At 41.6% G+C, this 19605-nt stretch overlaps 1 protein-coding gene across 16 annotated transcripts in view, besides 2 other annotated features; it reads left to right on the top strand.

Annotated features, from left to right (window-relative positions):
* Positions 9230 to 9509: a silencer, noted in NCBI's record as "silent region_1004". NCBI's record gives its function as "represses an Ori minimal core promoter by ATAC-STARR-seq in GM12878 lymphoblastoid cells {active_cell/tissue: GM12878}" and the evidence as "EXISTENCE:reporter gene assay evidence [ECO:0000049][PMID:35858748]".
* USP33 (ubiquitin specific peptidase 33) overlaps positions 9419 to 19605 on the top strand; it is a 63866-nt gene continuing 53679 nt past the window's right edge. For all 16 annotated transcript variants that reach the window (NM_001377437.1, NM_001377436.1, NM_001377431.1 and 13 more), the window contains exon 1: positions 9419 to 9628. The gene's annotated coding sequence lies outside the window, so the exon portion shown is untranslated. The remainder of the gene's footprint in view (positions 9629 to 19605) is intronic.
* Positions 12823 to 12872: an enhancer, noted in NCBI's record as "active region_1218". NCBI's record gives its function as "activates an Ori minimal core promoter by ATAC-STARR-seq in GM12878 lymphoblastoid cells {active_cell/tissue: GM12878}" and the evidence as "EXISTENCE:reporter gene assay evidence [ECO:0000049][PMID:35858748]".

The following is a 19605-nucleotide window of genomic DNA, read 5'->3' as shown; positions in this document are numbered from 1 at the left end:
GACTGCACCACTGCACTCCAGCCTGGACGACAGAGGGAGACTCTGTCTCAAAAAAAAAAAAAAAAAAAAAAAAAGCCTGTTACAAAGACTGTATATTGTATATGGTTCTAATTATATGCAATGTCCAGAATAGGCAAATCTATACAAAGAGGAAGCAGCATAGTGATTGCCTAGAGCTGGGAGAGTTGAGGGGAAATTTAAGTGACTGCAGAAGGATACAGGGTTTCTTTCGGGAATGGTGAAAATGTTCTAAATTTATTTATTTATTTTTTATTTTTATTGTTTATTTTTATTTATTTACTTATTTTTGAGACGGAGTTTCCTTCTGTCACCTAGGCTGTAGTGCAGTGATGTGATCTCAGCTCTCTGCAACCTCTGCCTCCTGGGCTCAAGCAATCCTCCCGCCTGAGCCTCTTGAGTAGCTGGGACTACAGGTACATGCCACCATGCCCGGCTAATTTTTGTATTTTTTGTACAGACAGGGTTTCTCCATGTTGGCCAGGCTGGTCTCGAACTCCTGACCTCAAGTTATCCTCCCAGTTTGATCCTTTTTCAAAGAGAGAGAGAGAGAGAGACATCTGTGTTCTATTGGAAGGTATTTACATCAAAATGTAAAATAACTAATAGACACCACAGAGATTTTTCAAGTAAGAGTTTAGGCAAGTAAGTTTATTCTAAAGTTACTTTAACATAAAGAACATAAAATTTAAATTAAACTACCAAGAAACAAGAGTTCATATTTTGCATTTCTAAAAAATCTTACGACTTCAAAACCCTAGAAAACCGTGTGTCATTTCTAAACTTATTTTTTAAAAAGAGCTGCATCTGCTGTGTATACATTTAAATGATGGAAATTTTGAGAAGTACAAGAAAATTACTGCTTCTCTAAGTTAAAAAATGTATCTTGTAATTCTTTCATATTTTCCCATTCATTCGTCTTTTTCAGTAATAGGTTTATTGATTTGTTCATTTCTTACATCGTGCCTTGTGGTGTGCTGAAAGCTGGAAATACTAGAATGAGTAAGAAAAATTCCTGCCCACAGCTTGGTTCAGGAAATGGAAAAGTGAACAAATCACTGCTATGTGTAATAATGACATTACAGGTTATATTGTATAATCAAGCAGCAGTAATAATCACTAAGGAACATGGTACAGAATGCAAGGAAAGGCCCACACAGCACAGAAAAGTCAGAAGAGGCTTCCCCTAGGACACGGGTATCCATCCTTTTGGCTTCCCTGGGCCACACTGGAAGAAGAATGGCGTTGGGCCATACATAAAATATACTAACACTAACGATAGCTGATGAGCTAAAAAAAAAAAAAAAAAATGTTCCGTGAAGGCCAGATGCAGTGGCTCACGCTTGTAATCCCAGTACTTTGGGAGGCTGAGGTGGGTGGATCACCTGAGGTCAGGAGTTAGAGACCAGCCTGGCCAATATGGTAAAACCCCGTCTCTACTAAAATATAAAAAAAATTAGCTGGGTGTGGTGGTGGGCGCCTATAATCACAGTTACTCGGGAGGCTGAGGCAGGAGAATCGCTTGAACCCGGGAGGCAGAGGTTACAGTGAGCCGAGATCTCGCCATTGCAGTCCAGCCTGGGCAACAAGAGTGAAACTCTGTCTCAAAAAAAAAAAAAAAAAAAGTTCCGTGCATAATTTTCATGATATCCACCACCATGGATCAGCAAAAAAGTTGTTGCATTCAAAGGGTTGAACATGGCTGCCCCAGAAGGTGTCCCTTTAAAGGATGAATGGAATGGAGTTCACTTTTGAGAGAAAAGGCATTCCCTGTATAAGTAAAGTTGCACTAAGTAGGAGAGGCACAAGCAAATGTTTTGCCTTTCAGAAAAACGAAATATAAGTTAGAGTAGCTTGAGGACAGGGTGTTTGATTGGGCATAGCAAAATACTAGGTAGGTGGAGTAAATTTGGGTCAAACTAAGGCCATGAGGACCTAGGAAGCAAGCAAGGTGCCTAGGGCATACAGTTAGAAGTATTTGCTGGTTCCTGCAAATATAGGGTTCTTAGATATTGCATTCTAGGCAACTTATTTGCCTCATCCTAGGACCTTGGTGAGAAAAAAACTCTTTGGGAGCAGGGAAGAGTCATTGAAGACTTACATGACTAGATACAGGTTTTAGAAAGTTATGTTTAGAAGTATGGCATTGGACTAAAGGAGACTGAGAATAGAGTCGGAAAGACATGTGAGGAAGCTATTAAAATAACCCAGGTAAGAATTTAGAGGATCTGTACAGAGGAGCCCTCCTAGGCTCCATCTCCCATGCAGTCAATTAAAAGTCTGTTATTTTAGACTCCTAAGTAACTCTCATTACCATCTCCACTGCTAGGCCCTTACCTTCCCTTGTCTGGATTCTACAATAAGTAGCCTGTCTCTACTCTATTTCAGTCATTACCATCCAAGTAATCCAATATGTAAATCTCATTGTGTTGCTTTCTTTCCCAAAGTTATTTGTATCCTTAGAAGAAAAACTACTTAGCAGACAAGGCCACTTATGATCTGCCTCTCTTGTATAGTCTTTTCCCCTATCCCCTGCTCTCAATCTTTACTTAGCAATACTGACCCCTTGTAAGTTCCCAATTGCAGTATATTCTTTCTTGCTGATGTGCCTTTGCCTATTCTCCTCCCTCTGCCAAAAATGTCTCTCCTCCTCTGGAAGTGTACACTTGAAAACCATTGAGGTGTAGACTTTAAATGGATGAATTGTATGGTATGTGTATATATCTCAATAAAGCTGTTATTAAAAAAATTATTGCCATTTTTAAGATCAAGAAATTGAGGCTTGAAAAGATTGTGAAAATGGTAAAATCTGGAGATCTGAAGCTGGAAAATGACCTAGAGCATATTTTCACTGCATTGCCTCAGTAGTTATGAGAATGCTGTGCTACTCCAAAAAAAGGCCTGTGTTCAGCGAGGCACAGTGACTTACATCTATAATCCTAGCACTTCGGGAGTGCGAGGTGGGCCAAGTAAGAAATTTTTCTTGGCCTGTAAGCCAGTATTGGCTATCTATGATATTGTGTCTTCCATTCATCTACTTGATTGTCATGGAAGGTGCCCTGTTCTTCCATGACACTGACCCTCTGGCTGAATGCTCTTGGACAGGCACTGGACCCAGGTGAAGATAGTAAATCCCTTCTTTGGGATTTTTTTTAAACCGGGAACTCTGCTTTTGGAGAAAACTATAAGATGGCAAATTAGAAAGTGAGTGACGGGCCAGGTACTGTGGCTCACACCTGTAATCCCAGCACTTTGGGACGCCACGGCAGGCAGACCACCTGAGCCCAGGAGTATGAAACCAACCTGCGCAACATGGCGAAAACCCATCTCTATAAAAAATACAAAAATTAGCCAGGCGTGGTGGAGTGCACTTGTAGTCCAAGCTTCTTGGGGGGCTGAGACGAGAAGATTGCTTGAACCCAGGAGGTCAAGGCTGCAGTAAGCCATGATTGTGCCACTGCACTTCAGTTTGGGTGACACAGCGATACCCTACCTCAAAAAAAAAAAAAAAAAAAAAGGGAGTGGTAAAGAGATTAGAAAGCCCTTGCAATGTTTGAGTCCCTGGTTCTAGCTATCATTCCTTGGATTCTATAAGCCAGTAAACCTCCTTTTTGCCAAAGTTAGGGCATCCAAATTCTGTATCCCAGTTCACCTATGGGCTTCAAGTGGCTTACAGGTATGCCAAGGCAGTGATCCCTGCTGGAAACCTCTAACAGCAAGCATCCTTGTCTATTGATCCCAGTGTATTATAATTTTCTAAATGACCTGATCTGATAATCTAAGAAAACTCTGAGAAGCACTAGCCTAAACTAGAGCACCAATTCTCAACTGGGTGTGATTTTGCCCCTTGGGTGACTTTTGGCAATGTTTGGAGACATTTTTGTTTGTTATCACTGGAGGAGGTGCTGCTGGGATCTAGTAGGTAAAGACTAAAGATGCTGCTAAATATCCTTCAGTGCACAGGAACCACCCTCCACAACAAAGAATTATTTAATCCAAAATGTCCGTGTCGCGTCATTTTTTAGAAACTTTGAGCTAGGGTAACCTGAATCGTTACTCTAAGAGTGAATAGATGATAACAGATTCTTGGCAGAGACTTCAAATGTCAGTGCCAAATTACACATCTTAAGTTAAGATACCTCCATGATGGGTGGGGAAATAGGTGCTTCTGTCTCATCTCAAGCCAAGTCTGAGGGGCTTCAAGAGAACCATTTGGAAAAGATGAGATGTGCCCCTTGAATCTTACAGAGATGATATCTGGTAACTGATGTACATTTGAAAAGTTCTAAATCAAGAGACTGAGGCCGCCTCTGAGCAGAAGATGCATATAGGGGCTGGGTATGGAGGCTCATGCCGGTAATCCCAGCACTTTGGGAGGCTGAGGCAGGCAGATCACTTGAGGTCAGGAATTCAAGACCAGCGTGGCCAACAATGACGAAACCCCGTCTCTGCTAAAAAAAAAAAAAATACAAAAATTAGCCGGGCATGGTAGTGCCTGCTTGTAGTCCCAGCTACTCGGGAGGCTGAGGCAGGAGAATCACTTGAACCCAGGAGGCAGAGGTTGCAGTGAGCCAGGATTGTGCCACTGCACTGCAGCGAGACTTTCACACACACACAAAATGCATATAGGGCTGATTGGGAACAGTTCACACTTCTGTGCAAGATACTTGTATGCTTTTTGTGGACTAAGTGAGAACCTCATGTAAGAGATTTGGACTGGGTCACCTTGAAAATGTCTGTCCAAAAGGACTGTCAGTTTGGGTGAGAGGATCCCTGGAAATCAGGGGACTAAGGACTAGGTCATAGGTGGCCATCCAGAAGATACATTGCTGAGCCAAGAGACTGTAGGTGAGGGTTCCAGTGATGGACTCCATGAGAGAAAGAGTCAGCTTCAGACCTCAGCCACTCCCAAAAGTCACTGACTGCTAAAACTGTGTCAGTCCAGAAAGATCCTTTCTGTTCTTGTCTTCTTCAACTGTGGAGGGGCACAAAACAAAAAGCCAATAAGCCAGGGAGAAGGGAGAACAAGGTAGAGGAAATGGCAGAGAATTTTTGATATTGCACTGGACAGGATTTTTTTCTAATACTAGGGGCAAAAGGCCACTTTTTTTTATTACTAGAAAATTACTGGAGGACTTTTTTTTTTTTTTTTTCTGACAGAGAGGCTCTTGCTCTGTCACCAAGCTGGAGTACAGTGGCACGATTATAGCTCACTCACTGCAGTCTCAAACTCCTGGGCTCAAGGGATCCTCCTGCCTCAGCCTCTGGAGTAGCTGTACTACAGGCATGTGCCATCGTATCCTGGTATTATTTTTTAAAATTTTTTGTAGAGGCAGAATTTCACTTTGTTAACCAGGCTGGTCTCGAACTCCTGGGCTCAACTGATCCTCCCACCTTGGCTTTGAAAAGTGTTGAATTATAGGCATGAGCCAACACACCTGGCCTGGTGGACTTTTTAATTATGTGACAGTGAGCGGAAAAGCAAAAATGCTTTGCCTAAGATTTGTTTTAAAATATATTTTTCTTTTCTTTCTTTCTTTTTTTTTTGTTCTTGTTTTTGTTTTTTGAGAGACAGGGTCTCACTCCTATTGCCCAGGCTGGAGAGGGGTGGCACAGTCATGGCTCATGACAGTCTTAATTTCCTGGGCTCAAGTGATTCTCTCACCTCACCCTCCATAGTAGCTGGGACTACAGGCATGATCCACCATGCCCGGCTAATTGTTGCAATTTTTTGTAGAGACAGGGTTTCGCCATGTTGCCCAGGCTGGTCTTGAACTCTGGTCTCAAGCAGCCGCAGCTTTCCAAAGTGTTGGGATTACAGGCATGAGCTACTGCGCCCTGCCCAGAAACATATTTTATTTTACTTTGAGACAGAGTTTTGCTCTTGTTGCCCAGGCTGGAATGCAGTGGTGCCATCTCAGCTCACTGCAACCTCCGCCGCCCGGGTTCAAGCGATTCTCCTGCCTCAGCCTCCCGAGTAGCTGGGATTATAGGTACCTGCACCACACCCAGCTAATTTTTGTATTTTTGATAGAGATGGAGTTTCATCATGTTGGCCAGGCTGGTCTCGAACTCCTGATCTCAGGTGATCCGCCCAACTCGGCCTTCCAAAGTGCTGGGATTACAGACGTGAGCCACTGGGCCCGGCCCAAAGACATATTTTAAAGCCCCAGCTTAAATCAGAGTTTCTCAATAGTGGCATTAATGATGTCTGGGACTCTCTTGTAATATCAATGCAAAGGAATGTTACTAATTCTTTCTCCCACCAATCCTCTTCAGAAATATTGCCAACTATCCACTCAGGGGACAAAACCACCCCCAGTTGAGTGCCAACAAGTTTTTGAGTCCTTCAATGCTAGGCTCTGGGAATATTGTGAATAAGATAAATACTCACTGCTCCCATTGAGGAGTTCAGGAGAGACAGGCAAAAAATTAAGTATACCAAAAAATTTAAGATAATTACAAATTATAATACATTCTCTAAAGGAAGCAAGCAGGATGCTGAAACCGGAAATAATGGGGTAAAGAGTTCTGTATTAAACAGAGAATATCTAGGTAGGAGTTAGCCAGGTGAAGGAAGGATAGAGGTTGGGAGTATCTGTAAAATTGTCTCTAAGGAAACAGCATTTACAAAGCTTTATTTAGTCTCAGGTACATAAGCACCAAAATGTATATTTTCTACGTTGCTATTTTTTACTTGCCATTACTCAGTTACAAAAATGAGAAGGTATTTGTTTTTGATAGGACCATTCAATTGTCTTCCTCCCTCCCTGTTTGTATCTCTCCTTCTTTTCTTCTTTTTCTTCCTACTCTTCATTTCTTCTTTTTTCTCCCTTTCATTAGAAGAGACTTCTTTTCTTCTTTTTCTTCCTACTCTTCATTTCTTCTTTTTTCTCCCTTTCATTAGAAGAGACTTCAGTACCTGGCCTGATGCACAACTCTAAGTCATACTATTTACATTATATTCTCCATGAACGGCACCTCTAGAATTCTGTTCCAGAATCAGTATGACTCAGCTGGGTGTCCACACACCCTCTAGAATTCTACTCCAGAATCAGTGACTCAGCTGGGTGTCCACACTTTGGAATGTATAATCTATTCTCTCAAGGGGAAGTTGATTGATTTATTTCCTAATGATAGTGTTCTTCCTTATAAGCCATTATAAGCCATCAGGAGATATTGTTTGAAGAAAAGTAAAAGATAAGCAATCTGGACTGTGGGATGAAAGGATAAACACCCAAGGGTGGGAGGCAGGAATTCACGGAAGTTAAAAGTGGGAGAGGTATTACATTATATTCTATCAGAGTGAGTTTGTTTTGTGAGAACTTGTCCACTGCAAGGACTTCACTTGGTGTCCACCTGAGAAGTACTTGCCTACTATTATCTACGCACTAGTCTCAAACTCCCGATCTCAGGTGATCTGCCCTGCTGGGCCTCCCAAAGTGCTGGGATTACAGGCATGAGCCACCGCACCTGGTGATCTTGAACAGCCTTGTCAGTTGTCTTCCTTGCATTGACACTGCCCTAGAACTCCTCCAGGACAGGTAAGCCCAGAGAGAACCTTGGTTACTAAGCAGGATGGTGGTGGGACTTGGAGGCTGAATTGAATTTGCTAGGACACTGTAAGAACAGAATACCCCTGATACATTTTCAATAGAAGAATTTCTGGGGAAGTGACTTTTGTCTATTTTTCTATTTGGTCGCCTGTTTTTTTAAAAATTGATTTCTGGAAATACATATGGAGTTGAGCCCCTTTTCAATTATATGTATTTCAAATAAATTCTATTTGCTGGCCTAACTTTTCTTCTCTCTCTGTCTCTCTTCTTTTTTTTTCTTCTGTAGATCTCCTCTGTGGACAGCTTTTTTTTTTTTTTTTTTTTTTTTTGAGACAGGGTCCTCCTCTGTTGCCCAGGCTGGAGTTCAGTGGCTCTATCTTGGCTCACTGCAACCTCTGCCTCCTGGGTTCAAGTAATTCTCCTGCCTCAGCCTCCTGAGTGGCTGGGATTACAGGCACGCGCCACCACACCTGGCTAATTTTTGTATTTTTCGTAGAGATGGGGGTTTCACCATGTTGGTCAGGCTGGTCTTGAACTCCTGACCTCAGGTAATCCACCCGCCTTGGCCTCCCAAAATGCTGGGATTACAGGTGTGAGGCTCTGTGCCCGGCTGGAGACAACTTTTCATCTCCTAACGGCATCTTTTTTTTTTTTTCCCAGAGAATATCTCACTTTGTCACCCAGGCTGAAGTGCAGTGGCACAATCATGGCTCACTGCAACCTCAAACTCCTGGTCTCAAGTGATCCTCCACTCTTAGCCTCTTGAGTAGCTGGGACTACAGGTGCCTGTCACCATGCCTGGCGAATTTTTGTATTTTTAGTAGAAATGGGGTTTCGCCATGTTGCCCAGGCTAGTCTCGAACTCAAGTGATTCACCCGCCTCGGCCTCCCAAAGTGCTGGGATTACAGGCATGAACCATGGCGCCTGCCTGTGAAACTTCTATTCTGTGAAATTTCTATTCTCCTCAGTGAACCGAGGATAGGCAATCATTTGTGGTGCAAATTGAGGCCTGAGTGTCAATCCCTACCTAGAATTTTGTATCATGGTTAATTTATTTCATTTTTACCATAAAAATAAGTAGAAGCTTTTATATTTTCTACCTATTCCAATGGAGACTGAGCATCTTGCATGATACTTTGGTACATGCTCCCATTTTGGAGACCAAAAAGTCAGATGTCATGAGACAGATTGAAACTGGCAATTTTAACAATTTTTTATTAATATAACCTTTTTTATTCATAGATTTGAACCTCAATCGAGTGCATTTTAACAGTTACATAATTAGAAGGCAGGACTCCTTCCATGCTCCAGGCATTAAGCAGATACTAAGGTTTCAATAAATATTTGATTTGATCCTCTTGATTTTAGCCTAAGGAGAAAATGGTGAGATAAATTTCTTCTTTGCATAGGTGGAAAAGGGAAACATAATTGCTTTCAGAGAATCTAGGTCCTAAGAAGTTGGGGGAAGAAAGATGAAAGGAGGAAATACAATGTTGAATTGGGATAAGTTAAGTCTAATATTTCTTTGCTCAAGTTTGGAAACCTGAGGCCCTTCAGTGGCCAGCCTTAATGCAGTTTTTGTAATGCATCGAGACAAGACCTTATAATGGTCGTAGTGTGTGACTGTGAAAGAGAAGGAGAAAACATGTGAAAAACGAAAAAAAAAAAGCTCACAGCCTCAAACTGCTGCACATACCCTGTACAGTTAGTTTGCAGTCAGAGTAGGGAGCCGGCCTGGGTCCCCGCACCTGGGCCTGGCTCCCGTGGCCCCGCCCCTGGGGCGGGCTCCCATCGAGGCTCCGCCCCCACCTCCCCTATCGCCGGAGACGCCTGCGGCGGCCCCGGAGACACCGGAAGGAGCCGCGGCTGCTGCGGGAAGTGGCCAGTTCAGGAGGCGGACCCCCCGAGGGCAGCGCTGCGGGGCCGTTTTCCGGCCCTCCTGACGCGACACTGCCCCTCTCCGAGAGCTGAGAAGGAAAAGAGGAGCTTGCGGAGGTGCGGCTGCAGGCCGTTGTTGGTCGAGCTGGCGGGTCCCGCGGGCCAGGCCGTGGAGGTGAGCGCGGCGCTGCTGGGAGGGGCGCGGGGCCCAAGGGCGTTTCGCTCGCGTCCGGGGTCCGGTCTCTGTTCTCGCTTCCGCGCGCTGGGGTTGCGGCCGCTGCAGCAGCCTCTTTTTCTTGGTCCTGGGTGGCGGCGGGTTCGCGGGCGGGAAGAAGGCCTTGGCCCCTCGGTGCTCTGCGTTGCAGAGATAATCTAGTGGTCGCCCTGTCAACGGTCGGTGGAGGATGGGAACCGGTCGTTGATTTGAGGAAGGGTCCTCAGGGGTTCTTCCCTGGAAGCGGGAGGTGCAGGTGAGCCCGAGAAGCGGGGGCTCTGCTCCCTTCCTCGGTCTCCCCACTCAGGCTTGCCAGTCCCTCTCAGTGGGTGACTGAAAGCCCTGCAGCGCGCCGGCTCCTGGGTTCTGGTTTCGCTTTTCGGCGCTGTTGAGGGGGCCGGCCCCGTTGTTTGTTGTTGTGAACGGAAAAACCGAGGTGTCATCGTCCCTGGAATTTTTCTTCGACCAATGTTTGATCTTGACTGAGAGGTTACCCCTTACCTTCTGTCCATCTGCAGCCTTTGTTTGGATGAAAGATCCATAGTGTGTGGTTTCCCAGACCTTTACTTATATTTCTCGTATACAAAACGCTCTTCATTTGAATATTTACAGGGTTTTACGTTGAGCTCTTGGACGATGAGATTTTCCTGGGTGTTTTGCACTCAAGTACCGTTGGAGTTTACATTCTCATAGAATCAGTATTAGGCCTGGAAAATTGAGCCAGAGGGTGAAATTCTGGCAGGAGCATAGACTTAAATTGAAGGTGAATTTTACCGTAACGATCTCTAGGCCTTTTGCTTAATAACTATGTGGATGTAGAGAATTTTTAAGTTTAATCAGATTATTTTTCCTTTAAGAAAAACGTGTTACAAAAAGTAACAAGGCCGTCCTAGTTCCGTTTTTCCTACTGTCTTATTTGGAAAGGTCTGACCAAGTCACATTATCGTCATAGGCTATTTGATTTGAGCATAATACAAATATTGTTAGTGAATTCATACTATTATAAATAAGAGAGAAAATAGGAATCTTAAAGACAATGCTAGTTTTATGAAAAAATAATAGAAATAGTTACACAATGCTAGGAGCTTTGTATTATTTCATTACTTTGGCAGGATTGAAAGAAAGGTCAGGGCTGGGCACGGTGGCTCACGCCTGTAATCCCAGCACTCTGGGAGGCCGACGATCACGAGGTCAGGAGATCGAGACCATCCTGGGTAATACGGTGAAACCCCGTCTGTACTAAAAATTACAAAAAATTAGCCGGGCATGGTGGCAGGTGCCTGTAGTCCCAGCTACTTGGGAGGCTGAGGCAGGAGAATGGCGTGAATCCGGGAGGCAGAGCTTGCAATGAGCCGAGATCATGCCACTGCACTCCAGCCTGGGCAGCAGAGCGAGACTCTGTCTCAAAAAAAAAAAAAAAAAAAAAAAGGACAGTACAAAAAATATTATTGGAATAAAATATTTGACCTGATATGTGCAAGAGGGATAGTCTACTTAAGATTGCTTCCTATTTATGATCTGGTTTATGGCCAGTTTCACTTTTTTTCTGTCTTTTCTGAACTTTTTATAACTTAACAGTAAGCAAGTCTTTTTATATAACTGCAGTTTAATGACATTAGATTGTAGTAAATAGGTGATTTTAAATATTTGAAATTCAGAATTGAGATGATAATTCTTACATTTATGTAGTAGTATTAGAATTTTCTGTGACCTTTCACTTACACAGTCTTACTTGATCCTCATGCCAGTCCTCTGAGCTCCGAATGCCAAGAAATAAAGTCTTTCCCCATGACAGAAACATTTCAAGATTGTGTAAGGATCAGAATTTCGTAAAGCCTGAAATAATGTTGCCAAAGCAGCTTTTGATACAGATTGGGAATTCAGATAGATTAAGATTGGAGCACTGTGAACTATAACATATGACAAGACTGTGGACTCTTCACAAGAAAATGAAGTACATAAAATGCTGAAAGATTTTTGGTGAGAAATGTGAAATGTAACCATTTCTAAAAAGGAAGGGAATAAGTAACAGCTCTATTTAGTGTAGTTTTTAAACTTTAAAAGTGTACATGTGTCTGCAGGAACATTTTGATAAGTGGGAAAACTCCAAAGAGTGTGAGATGAGTACAGTTGCTTTTAACTATCTATAAAAAGGCACATGAATTATGTGCTATATTGTATACTGAGAACTAGTCTTTAAGAAACAATATGTATATCAAAATAAATCATGCTGTCAAATGTTCAGAAGGTTAAGTTAGGTCAATATTTTGAGTCTACCAGGACAAGGCCCTTTGGAAAACAAAAAGAATGAAACGTGGTTTCTGCCTTCAAAGAACTTGTAGTCAAGTGAGGCAATTTTTTACACAACAGTAAATGCCTTATGAGTTTTTATAAAAGTTCCTTAGGAATTTAGGTGAGGTAGACATTACTTGTGATTGGGGCTTGGTGAAGGTAGTATTTGAGATGAGTGAGCTTTGAAAGGTAAATATTGGAGGATATTTGTAATGTGAACAGATTAATGAGCTCCTTGAAGGGTACAACTTACATTTGAGAAAACATCGGTAGAACAATGTGGCTGATATTCATAGTTTATGTAAGTTAATAATAGATAAAGAAGACAAATTATGAAAGACTTCACTGAAGGTGTTTGATCAGAAGAGGTATGTGATCCACATGAAAGGAAAATGAGCTGTAACTGTTAGAAGATTGAGACTGGAAGACTGCTGGGGTGGCTTTATGTTAAGCTAGATTGTGACCATTATTTTTGTAGCCCTTATGGTTTCTCTGAAGTGCATCTTGAACTTGGACCTGAGATGACATGGGTGCAGGTGAGATGCTATAAAGCACAAGTGAGGAAGCAGGTAGAATCAGAGAAGGAGGAAAAAAGGTTAATAGTGGAAGGCCAACTGGAGGCTGCTTAAGCCTTTGGAGATTTTTGTATAACTGCCTCAGAGTTTTGTATAACTGCCCCAAATGAAGGGGAGCTGGGTGGTTTTCCATCTACAGTCAATCCTCACTGATAAAGATTGCCTTTATCTAAAAGGCTCCCAGAACTTCCCAGGTACACTGGTTAGGTAGGGCTTGGCAAGCTCCTGAGGTGCTGGAGAGCTGAGGAGAGAAGTAGTTGAGATGGGAAGTTGTCAGTGTGTTAACTGTGCATACCAGCTACAAGTAAACATTGAAGTGAGCTGAAAGGAGATGGTCCAGGTATCAACTCTGTGTCTTAACAGGCATTCTCATTGAATAATCCAGATGTGAAATAAAAGCCTCAATTTAGATAGAGACCTAGAAGAAATGTGAGATGAAATGTGGTTAAAAAAAAAAATGCCGAATTTAGAAACTGATAGAAAGTGAGGAGGGGAGCCAGGTGCTGTGGCTTGAGCCTGTAGTCTCAGTCACTTGGGAGGCTGAAACAGGAGATTTGCTTGAGCCCAGAAGTTCAAGTCCAACCTGGGCAATATAGAGAGCCTCCCATTTCAAAAAAAGTAAATGAAAAAAGTAAGGAGGGATCTAAGATGGTACTGAGGTTTAAAAGTTAGTTAACTTGTGAAAAAGAAGGGTTGACAGAAGGACACTGACTTTCAAATTAGTTTTTTAAGGAAAGTGAAAAAATTGCATAGTATTCAGGAGAGTGATGATAAGAGTGTTGATGACCAGTCATTCAAAAGGAAAGCAGGGTGGAGACTTGAACAATGCTGCCATCCCCACAAACTTATAATGTCTGGCCCATGCTGGATTATAAGCATTTGTTAAATTAATTTCTATCCCCCAGGGCTTATCACAGTCCTGAAATACAGTAATGTGGTGAAACTATAGGGCTGAATGTGACCTAAAATAAGACCATTTCCCACAGGTTTTAACTTTTATAAAATCCTAGAAGAGGAATTTCTTATATATTTTACTTTTTTGTGAAAGGGTCTCACTCTTGCCCAGCCTGGCGTGCAGTGGTGCGATCTTGGCTCACTGCAACCTCCACCTCCTGCGTTCAAGCAGTTCTCACCACTCAGCCTCTGGAGTAGCTGAGATTACAGGCGCACGCCACCATACCCAGCTAATTTTTGTATTTTTTGGTAGAAATGGGGGTTTCACCATGTTGGCCAGGCTGGTCTCAAACTCCTGACCTCAAGTGACCCTCCCACCTTGGATTCCCAAAGTGCTGGGATTACAGGCATGAGCTGCCATGTCTGGCTGGAATTTCTTATATTTTTTATGGAAGCATTACTGTGTTTAGATGAATCAGTTTTGATTAGTTTTAAAATCAATATTATAGTCTGGTAAACAATAAAAGAATTGATAATTTTTCTTATGGTGGTTCTCATTTGAATATGGTGATAGCATTTGTTTTCTCATATTCTTTCTTTCTTTTTTCTTTTTGCTCACAAGCTGAACTGAAGATTTAGGTTTTTCCATGTTTCTATGTGGTTTACATGAATATTTTTAATGACTGTTCCGTAATGCCAGTATATTAACTCTTCATCTTGCTCAAAAGTGAGACTTAGAGTGAAAATTATCATCAGCTTATTTGAGACTCTGTTAGAACTCTGTCATATTCATTAATTCATTTCTATTTCCTCTCTCTTCCAATATTTCTCAAAATTATTTCAACGAGATAAGGCTAGAATTGACCATATTTTGCCATTCATTATTGGACAGATTTTTAAAAATCTTTATAGGAAATGCTAATTAATATTTACAAATCTCATTTAGAGGATGTTATTTGGAATGAAGATTGCCAGATTGGAGCTATACTTTGGTATTATTAATAGTGGTAATGTTAAGAATAGATTGTAGAACACATAGGTTGTAGCCAGAGAACTCAGTTAGAAGACTGCGTATTTCTTTTAATAGCCTTAAGGCTCTCATTAATTAGACTCTTAAGGATCAATGAGACAGATTTTCTAGTAAAAGAGAAATAAAAAGATTAGCACTACATTTCTTTTTCTGTGTTGTGGTTTTGAATGAAAATTAAGAATGATTAGGTAAGTATTATAGGACTTTGTGGGATCTTCAAATCCTCACAGAGGTTTGAATGATTTTATTCTCAGAATATTTGTTTAAAGGGAAAGAAACAGTTATTTAAAATGCTTGTCAGCTGATTTCTTTTGTGAAAAGTCTCCCTGAGCACTTACTATGGATTGAGAATAAAATAAACTTTTCTGCTTGTTGTTGCACTCTTCATTGATAACTTCCTTCCATTCATCAGTTTTTTTGGCTTGCTTTTATTGGGTAGCAATTTTCTTCCATGATAAATATGGAAAGATAAGCCATAAGCTTATTCCTTCATTGTATTTTTGCTAAAGTGTAATATTTCATATGGTACTGCTGGACTAGTACTCGTGGAACCATAGTCTAGATTGAAACTGTTGAAAGACAAATCAATTTTTTTATAATCATAGAATCTTAATTCAATTCTGAGTTTTTAGTGCAAAGTGCTTGCTGTCCTTTGAAGCACCTCTGACAGTTACCCAACCTCTGTGTAACAATTATGGGGAACATGCTCCTTCCATGAAAGTTCATCTGTATTTGAACCGAAGTCTTCACCGTTGATTGAATATGCTGTTCTGACTTTCTCAAGTTGCACAGAAAAGAAAGGATCCCTTTGGTCATCATGTTCAATTGGAACATGTGTATCAAGTCCTGGCATCTTTTGCCTTCTGCTGTTTAAACATCCATGCTTTCAGTTCGTAATGGTTGACATTTACTGAGTACTTACTATATCACCCTCTTCTAAGTATTTTATATATACTAATATATAATATGTAATTATATATTAACGTATTATGTGTAATTATATAATTAGTTTAAAATATTATATATTAATCTTCTCCAAAACTCTAGAAAGTAGATATTTGTAATTAGATCAGTGTTTTAGATGAGGGAGCTAAGGCAAAGAGAAGAAACTTACCACTGGTCCCAAATCTAGGAGATAGTGGAGCCTTGCTCCAGAAACTTTACTCTTAGTACAGTGCTATCTTATAAGATACAGTTTTCAAATTATTTCTTTTAAGGTTTTCTATGAGAGGCACTCTTATTCTGTAGCTTTTAGTATTCTTCTTAAATAAAATACTGTATTCCAGATATAATCTACTTATTTTATGCGAACATTAAGATTGGCTATTATTTTTTCCCCTTTTCACCACTCTATTCAATTAAAAAATTATTATTTTTTTTTTGTAAAGATGGGGGGTGGGTATCACTCTGTTGCCTAGGCTGGTCTTGAACTCTTGGCCTCAAGCGATCCTCATGCCCCTGCCTCCCAGAGTGCTGGGATTACAGGTGTGAGCCACCATACCCAGCAAGACTGGTTACTCTTTTTATTCTGAAACCTTGAAACCTAGTGTTCTGTTGATTAATTGAGTAGGAATTGCTACTTCTTCAAGGGTCTAGAATCCAAATACCTGACCCCCTTTTTTGGTCTCAGTTTATATGGTTGATTCTTTGAATCCCAATGTCGAATATCACATCCATCATTATTAAATTTCGTCCTGTTAATTTTAGCTAATTTTTTTTATTTTTTATTTTTTGAGATGGAGTTTTGCTCTTGTCACCCAGACTGGAGTGCAGTGGCATGATCTTGGCTCACTTCGACCTCCTCTTCGCGGGTTCCAGCAATTCCCATGCCTCAGCCTCCCAGCTAGCTAGGACTACAGACGCACACCACCACGCCCTGCTAATTTTTTGTGTTTTTAGTAGAGACAGGGTTTCACCATGTTGGCTAGGCTGGTAATGAACTCCTGACCTCAGGTGATCCACCGGCCTCGGCCTCGCAAAGTGCTGGGATTACAGGTGTGAGCCACCACGCCCAGCCAATTTTAGCTTATTTTAAAAAATAGTTTAATTTTTCTTTAAAAACTTATTTTTATAATTTTAAGTTTATATTTTACTAGCCTGCCTTCTGTAGCTTTATCCAGGTTATTGTTAAAAATATTGAGCAGTTCTGACACCTGCTAGTGAAGACCTCCTGCATTCATATTAATCTTATATGTAACTATTAAATAGCTACCAATCCTTCTGACATAATTTTTTTTCTCTGTAATGTGAATCTGACTTTTTATGAAGAGCTTTACTTTTTGGAATAGACTAGGCAATGGAATTCAGGCAGTTTCTCAATATTAAAAGCTCCTTAGGTTACCAACTATGTCCTGATGTGTAATTATTATATTAAGGCCAGGCGCAGTGGCTCACTCCTGTAATCCCAGCACTTTGGGAGGCCGAGGTGGGTGGATCACTTGAGGCCAGAAGTTTGAGACCAGTCTGGGTAACACGGTGAAACTCCGTCTCTACTAAAAATACAAAAATTTAGCTGGATGTGGTGACACATGCTTGTAATCCCAGCTACTCAAGTGACTGAGGCATGAGAATTGCTTGAACCTGGGAGGGAGAAGTTGCAAGTGAGCCGAGATTGCGCCACTGCACTCCAGCCTGGGCGACAGAGTGAAATTCTGTCTCAAAAAAAAAAAAAATTGTACTAATAACATGGTTCCCTATACTTTTCCTAATATTAAAATTTGAATAGCTGATTGATTATCTTCTATTAGGATAAGGGGTCAGAATTTCAACCTGGAATTTGGAGATTGTACTACGAAAATATTCTCCCCTTAAAAGTAATATCTTCGGGCGCGGCGCGGTGGCTCAAGCCTGTAATCCCAGCACTTTGGGAGGCCGAGGTGGGCGGATCACGAGGTCAAGAGATCGAGACCATCCTGGCTAACACAGTGAAACCCCATCTCTACTGGAAATACAAAAAATTAGCTGGGTGTGATGGCGGGTGCCTGTAGTCCCAGCTACTCAGGAGGCTGAGGCAGGAGAATGGCGTGAACCCGGGAGGTGGAGCTTGCAGTGAGCTGAGATCGCGCCACTGCACTCAAGCCTGGGCGACAGAGCAAGACTCCGTCTCAAAAAAAAAAAGGTAATATCTTCAGAAGCAGTTTTGTTTTGTTTTTGAGACAAGGCCTAGCTCTGTCACTCAGGCGGGAGTGCAGTGGTGCAATCACAGCTCACTGCATGCAACTTCTGCCTCCTGGGCTCAGGTGATCCTCCCACCTCAGCCTCCTGAATAGCTGGGACTGCAGGGGCATGCCACCAGGCCTGGGTAATTTTTGTATTTTTTTGGGGTAGAGACAGGGTATTGCCGTGTTGCCCAGGCTGGTCTTGAACTCCTGGGTTCAAGCAGTCCTCCCGCCTCAGTCTCCTAAAGTGCTGGGATTACAGGTGCGAGCCACCATGCCCAGCCCAGAAGCAGTTTTGCATTTACTTTAATGCAGATGAGCAATTTAGCCACCGGAGCTGTACATCATAGAGCGTGAGTGCAGTCGTTTTCATCTGGAAAAATTTTCAGTTGGTGTTGCTGCCATCATTATTGGTGAGAAAACTTCCAGTAGTCCAGTTAGTGTGGCAGATAGAGGAAAAAGCTGCCAGATACAAGATTACAAAGATAAGGACAAACAGATAAAATCTTGTGCACTCTTTGTGATTTCCAACTTGTAAGTCACAAGCTTCTACAGGAGTCTTAGTTTTGCAAAATCTACTTCTGTGGATTGGACAATAGCATTTCCATATACAACCATTTTCTGTTTTTTTCTAATGTCTAATACTCATCTCCTGTGATTAAATTATCAGACAAGAATGGAAGCATACATGCCTTCTTTCTTTTGGTGTACAATTTGAGAAGAAATTGAAGTAGCTAAGAACTCCCATTGTCTTACCCTACTATATCTGAATGCCCTACCCTCAATAAACATTTGTCAAATAAAGGAATAAAAGAATGATTTTATTACCTTAGTAAATAAACTGAGTAAAACTAGGCAAAGAAAATACTAAGGGTTTTCTATTTTGATAGCATTGTATTATACGGGATACTAAATATCCTTGGGACAAATTGTTAGCCTTTGTTTACATGCACTAATTCTTTTCCTTTTTCTTTCTTTCTTTCTTTCTTTCTTTCTTTCTTTCTTTCTTTCTTTCTTTCTTTCTTTCTTTTTTAAGTCAGGGTCTTGCTGTGTTGCACAGGCTGGAGTGCAGTGGTGCAATCTTGGCTCACTGCAACCTTTGCCTCCTGGGCTCAAGGGATTCTCCTGCCTCAGTGGAACTACAGGTGTGCACCACCACGCTGGGCTGATTTTTCTATTTTCTGTAGAGAGATGGGGTTTCACCATGTTGCCCAGGCTGGTCTTGAACTCGTCAGCTCAAATGATCTTCCCGCCTTGGCCTCCCAAAGTGCTGGGATTACAGACCTGAGCTGTCATGCGTGGCTGCCCAGCCAATTCTTTCTTTCTTTCTTTTTTTGGAGATGGAGCCTTGCTCTGTTGCCCAGGCTGGTGTGCAGTGGCGTGATCACGGCTCACTGCAACCTCTGCCTCCTGGGTTCAAGTGATTCTCCTGCTTCAGCCTCCCGAGTAGCTGGGATTACAGGCACCCACCACTATGCACGGCTAATTTTTGTATTTTTAGTAAAGAAGGGGTTTTGCCATGTTGGCCAGGCTGGTCTCAGACTCCTGAACTCAGGTGATCCACCTACTTCGGCCTCCCAAAATTCTGGAATTACAGTCATCGCACCTGGCCCTGCCCAGCCAATTCTTATTAAATTGTTTAGATAATGCAAAATTAATAGCAGAGCAGAGAGAATGTATTTATGTTTTATTCTTTTTTTCATCTCAGCTATCAGCAGAGAGAATTTATTTTAATCTTATTTTTTGCTTGAGATTTTAGAAAAAAATATTTATCTTGGAAGTTTCTTTTCAATCCTCTGATCCCATTTCTTTCCTCTGAGGCAAAATAGTATTGCCTAAAAAGCAGTGAGAAGAACATCTACATTTCATTGGCAAATGCAGAATTTTTACTTTAGAGGAAAATACATAGCTTAAATACTTTCAGTAAACAAAGCGCTCAGTACTCATCTTTAGGGATTAAGAAAATAAAACCAGGCTGGGTGCAGTGAT

Source organism: Homo sapiens, chromosome 1, assembly GCF_000001405.40.
Source record: "Homo sapiens chromosome 1, GRCh38.p14 Primary Assembly".
Taxonomy (NCBI): Eukaryota; Metazoa; Chordata; class Mammalia; order Primates; family Hominidae; genus Homo; species Homo sapiens.
The sequence above is the reverse complement of the archived record's forward strand: the minus strand, read 5'-3'. Positions and strand labels throughout refer to the sequence as shown.